Below are 6,000 nucleotides of genomic sequence, written 5' to 3'. Positions count from 1 at the left end.
TCTCTCTGAGTCCCAATTTTCTCATTTATAAAATGACCAGACTATAAGATTAATATGAGTTTTGTACCTCTGTTTTTAAACATCAATTGCTAAATAAATATTATTTAACTTTTACCATAGTTCATATATATTTACTTCATTGTTTATGTTCATGCATTCTCTCCCCATCTTGATTTTTAAGTCCTGGAGGGCTAGAATTGTCCTATGGCTCATTTTTGTTTTCTCTAGAGTAGTGCTGTCCAATAGAAATATAATTTAAGCTACATACATAATTTTACATTTTTCTAGTAGCCACATTTTAAAAAGTAAAAAGAGAAAAGAGAAATTAATCTAAATAACATATTTTTATTTAACCCAATACATCCCAAAATTGATAATTTCAACATGTAATCAATATTTTAAAAAGAGACATCTTACATTCTTTTGTTTGTCTTTGAAATCTGGTATATAAATTCTACCTATAGAATATCTCAGCTCAGACTAGCCACATTTCAAGTCCTCAATAACCACATGTTGCTCATGGCTACCATACTGGACAGTGCAGATATAGGGCTTAAAATAGTATGTTGATTGATGGATAGATTGATTGTGACTCTCTTACCCAAATGGTGTGCTTTAGGCCGACTGATCTTATTGGCTATCCTTTTTTGTATGCTTAATTGCATTTGATGCACCACTAAATTTATACCTTTCATGAGATTTTTATTCTGCCTAGAAATTCCTTTTCTACTATTGTTTTTTCTATTTAAACCAATCCTCCACTGCTTAGCTGGTATTATATTCTAAGTTCTCCATGGAACCTTCTGAGATTTTTCAGTCTGCAGCATCCAGTCCCTCCTTCAAAGTCACATAATTTATCCCATTTTACATACTGTACAATTTATCTTATACATCATAATTGACAAAAAAAAACATGTTATGAGTGCTTACTCATTATTATACCATGGGTTGGAAAACCACCTCTACCTTTTAGAAATACAAATTGAATGAAGTGTATTGTATGTGAAAGACCAAAAGACCAATACAAGATTAATAATACATTAGGTAAGAACCAAATCAACGATAGAGATGGTGTTCCTTAAATATTTTCCTTGGACAATAGCTCTGTTATTGAGCTCCTCATATCAAAAGAGTACCCATGGTTTAATAAATGTTTAGAATGCACATTTAAACAAAATTGGACAGGTTTTTGCTAAAACAGGACTTCTCAGAGTCTTTAATATGCCAATATACAGTGTTCTCCAAGAACAGAAAAGAGTATGCAACAGTTCCAAAACATTGTTGAATCAGAAATCTTTTTCCTTGGAGCATTTTATGTGATGACTGTTTTGTAAAGCCTCATTTGAGAAATGTTTCTTAGAAAACAATTATGGGAGCTGAAACTTGAGCAGAGAGGGGAGAATGTCTCCAAACCACAATGGAGGATGCCCAGGAGAAGTAGAGGTGCAGGGTTTGGATGCCAACCTTGGGAGGGTTTAAAAGCGTGACTACTTCTTGCTTCTTGGTGGTTGTTTAGTTGTTTTATTTTCTTTCTTTCTTTTTTTTCTTTTTTTTCTTTTTTTTTTTGATAGAGTTTCACTCTGTCACCCAGGCTGGAGTACAGTGGCATGATCTCGGCTCACTGCAACCTCCACCTCCCAGGTTCAAGAGATTCTCCTGCCTCAGCCTCCCGAGAAGCTGGGACTACAGGCACGTGCCACCACATCCAGATAATTTTTGTATTTTTAGTAGAGACGGGGTTTCACCCTGTTAGCCAGGCTGTTCTCGATCTTTTGACCTTGTGATCCACCCGCCTTGGCCTCCCAAAGTGCTGGGATTACAGGCGTGACCCACCACGCCCAGCCTAGTTGTTTTATTTTCATATTCCCTAAACACTTTGCACTTTCTCAGTTTCTTTGCTCATGCCTGAAAATCGCTTCCCATCCTTTCCCTCCTACAAAAATCCTTCTTAAAATTTAAGGCCCTACTTGAATGCCACTTCTTTAATACATCTCCTTCATTTTCCATCCAGGTCTGAATTCTCCTTTCTCCTGTGTTCCTTAAACACAGCCTTTTATAGCTTAAATTCCCATGCATTCCAAGTCTTAATTACTGGTATTTTGGGTTTTGCCACAAAATATTCTAAGTTCCTGGTTTTCTATTCCTGATCACACTGAACCAAGAGTCTAGTACACACTCAGTCTTCAAAGATATATTCAGAATGAATAAATGAATGACTGTAAGGATAAGTGCTTTGCTGTCTTCACATAGACAGGCTAGAAACTTTATCAAGCAGGAATTGTGTACTCTATATTTTTTGAATAAACTTTTAATTTCAGAATAGTTGTAGAATTACTGAAAAATTGCAAAGATAGTAATGAGAATTCCTATATACCTTGCAAGAAGTTTCTCATTAACATCTTAAACTCATATAGTACATTTGTGATAACTAATGATCCAATATTGTTATCAATATAGCAATAAAATTTCCATTCATTATTCGGATTTCCTCACTTCCCCTAATGTCCCTTTTCTTTCTAGCTTTCCATTTAGGATGCCATACTACGTTTAGTTGTCATGTCTTCTTAGTTTCCTGTAGATCATGACAGTTTCTCATACTTTATTTTTGATGACTGACAGTTTTGAGAAATACTGATCAAATATTATGCAGAATATTCCCGATAAAGTTTCGTCTGACATTTTTCTCATGACTACATGGGGGTTATGGATTTGGGGAAGAAAGGACATAGAGGTAAAAGCCATTCTCATTACATAATGTCAAGAACACACAATAGCCACATGCCTTACTACTACTGATATTGAACCTTAATTACCTGGTTGAGCTAGTGTTCGCCCTTTTTAAAATTTTCAGTGACCAACATTGCTTCTTGCCAGAGTCACAGCTTATTAAAGACAAAAATGGGATGTTATGCCTGTGTCTAAGGCATCTAGCACTGATTTCCATACAATATAGGCACAGGTTTCATGTTTGGTAAATGGAAAAAACATGGATGAATACCTGAATGCTTCTCATTGATGTATATTCCACATGGCTTCTAATCTTGCAAATTCCTTGCTGTAATTAAGTTTTAATATAGAAAAAAAAAGAAAAGAAAGCTAGAGACTGCACTTGAAAGATATCCTCCCTAAAGGAACAAGTAATATTCAATGTGTATGAACTGAATAATGTAACACAGGGCTCTATTCATACCAACTCTTTAAACAGTTTTGTGCAATAGCAAGAACAGCAGCCAAATAATCATCCTAACATCATTCTGGGAAGTACAGTGGCTTCTGCTTCCCACTTTGGGGGAGGAAATAATTACAAGAATGACAGTAACTGGTTTGACAATTACAACAGCCTGGTCAAGATGATGTCTTCATTTGCAAATTGCCCCATACACCCTGAGATCTCTCCCAAGATTGAATAAATTAAATTAATACCTAAAAGGACTCCTGTGGTAAAATAACCAAAGCAAAAGAAACCAATAATTTGATAAAGGCTATTCACAAATGAAATTTTTGGCAGGCTGGGAAAGAGTAGAAAGCTTTGTAAAGAAAAGAGGAAAGGGAATAAATAAAAAAAAAAAAACAAATATTTTTAGGAAAAATACCAGAGCAGAGGGAAGAGTCAATGGATTAAAAGACAAAAAGTGTCTGCAGGGAGTGGGATATGCTGAGCTCTAAAGCAGTTAACAAATAGGAATTTAACATTTGTTAGCCAAGTAAATACTTTTGCAGAAGGGACAGGAAAGTGCACATCTTAACAAGACTGAAAAACATTGATTTGTTTTTCATTTGAAGAGCAATTTATTTGCTATTCATTCATAGTCTTACTTGATTTTTAAAAACTCATTTCGCTTGGTAATTTTAAAGGTATCCTGAACTTCGTCTATACAACTGCTTATATATGTTCAGAAAACAAATTCATGGTTGCTGAACTGTTCTTTAAAACCTGACCAGTTACAATAACTTTTATTGCTTTCCTAAACCATGGGTAAAATAAAGCATAAATCAAAGGATTCATGGCTGAGTTATAATAAGCACACCAACAGCAAATCTCATAAATACAGGCAGGGGTTATAAAGCCCATAAAGGCATCAATTAATGAATCAATGCTATATGGTAACCATGAAATCATAAATGCTACCACTGTGACCCCCAGGGTTTTAGCTGCTTTTCTCTCTCTCCTGGCCACTCTGGCTTTGTAACTCTCTGAGGATGATTCTGTCTTGCTACCAGTATTTTCTATCTTTTTCGCCTGTCGTCTAGCCACAAGAAATATGTTACCATACAGAATTATCATAATAAAGGTAGGTATAAAGAAGGATAGAAAATCTGTCAACACCCAGTTTTGATTTACAACGGTCTGACAACCTCCTATACAGTTTAGGGCATCAGATAATTCCTCCAGCCCATCGTCATAGACACCTGTGTAGAACACAGCACCGCTGTACATGAGGGGCAGGATCCAGGACACGCTGATGCAAATTCCTGACACAGATACGGTGAACTTGGTAGGATAGACCAGGGGGTCAGTAACCGCAATGTACCTGTCGATGGAGATGAAGCACAAGTGAAAGAGAGAAGAGTAACAAAATGCCACATCACAGCAGGTGTGGAAAGTACAAAAACTCCTCCCAAAATACCAGCAGCTCTCCACCGTCCTGACCATGCTGAAGGGCATCACAGTCACACCCACCAAGAAATCAGCGCAGGCCAGAGAGGCAACGAGAAAATTGGTCGGAGAGTGCAGCTGCTTGAAATGGAGGATTGAAATCATCACCAGGAGGTTTCCAAACACAGCCAGCACAGCCCCAAAGCCAAACACTATGTACAGAATCACCCGGGATCCCGGCGAGAAGGGGATTTTCACACAGGACCCATTCACGTTCGCGTAGCACAGCTGCACAGCCACCAGCAGGGATGAATTGCTGCTCATAACGCTGTTATTTACATATGGAGAAGTTTTGTCCTTGTTGATTATCACAAAAAATACAGGATTGTTCCTGATTTTCAGTGCTCCTGCGGAAAAAAACACATATTCACCAGGATGCCAGAGGAAATGATCAGATATTATCTCTAATATAATTTTTCAAGTTTCCATTTTTATTATAAATCCCAAATGTTTATGACAAAATAAAATTTGACAAAAATTATATTGCACAAGATTATTGGAGATTGTTTCAACTGATAAATGTCTCATGCTCTTAATTTGATAAAATTCCTTTTGATTTTAAATATCCTTTCATATTTTATTTTTACCTTTTGAGTTTCTCTGTGCAACAGTCGCTGATATGGAATGTAATTATGGAGCTGAAAGATCACCTCCTGTTATCTTTATCTCTGTTATCTGTCCTGCATTACCGCCTTAAAGATGAAGTCCTTTTAGCTAAATAAATGCCTTCAATGGGAAAATCCCTCGATGGAATCCCTGTAGTGCGCGGTGTGAACTAGTATGATTATTTTCAACAGTGATTACTAGGAAAGTTATTCTACAAAACAGGTCTCTACTCTATATTAAATTCTATTATCATTATTGTTTTAGGCCAAAGATTTGTTTTTCCTTAGTGCATAGACTTGAACCATTCCCTTGTTCCCAATCATAACTTAGCCACCCGGGTTTTTGTTACAAAGATACAATAGGGTGTAAATAGTAAGCATCAATACTTGGCTCTTTCTCTTCTGTTAAGAATCAATTTTCCATCTGCATTGGTTACCAACAAGCAGAAATTATTATAATACATAGTGAGGGGAACTTGAGATTGATAAAATATATTGCATGAAAGCATTAAAGAACGACATGCTGTTTAGACACACCGGCATTTCTGAGATGCTGGTGGAAAGACCAGTCCTCTTCTCAAGACATTGTTACTGGGAACACATCTGCAATGTGTCTGCATCCACATGACAAATGGGCAGTGAGCCCTCTCTCTCTGACTACGCATTTGTTTGCAATTCCTGGTGACTGGCCTTTGTGCTCCCGATGCTAAAAGCAGTCAAAAAAATAAGAATAATGAA

At 36.6% G+C, this 6,000-nt stretch overlaps 1 protein-coding gene across 1 annotated transcript; it reads right to left on the bottom strand.

The window, feature by feature from the left end:
• TAAR6 (trace amine associated receptor 6) lies at nucleotides 3,884-4,921 on the bottom strand. Its single transcript, NM_175067.1, has one exon. It carries the CDS (start codon nucleotides 4,919-4,921, stop codon nucleotides 3,884-3,886), a length of 1,038 nt encoding a protein of 345 aa, NP_778237.1.

This window comes from Homo sapiens, chromosome 6, assembly GCF_000001405.40.
Source record: "Homo sapiens chromosome 6, GRCh38.p14 Primary Assembly".
NCBI lineage: Eukaryota > Metazoa > Chordata > Mammalia > Primates > Hominidae > Homo > Homo sapiens.
Note: the sequence above shows the minus strand (reverse complement) of the source record. Positions and strands in the feature narration are given on the sequence as shown.

Bases quoted from the DNA above. Each gene is read 5' to 3' on its own strand.
- TAAR6 (NM_175067.1), bottom strand. From the start codon at position 4,921: ATGAGCAGCAATTCATCCCTGCTGGTGGCTGTGCAGCTGTGCTACGCG.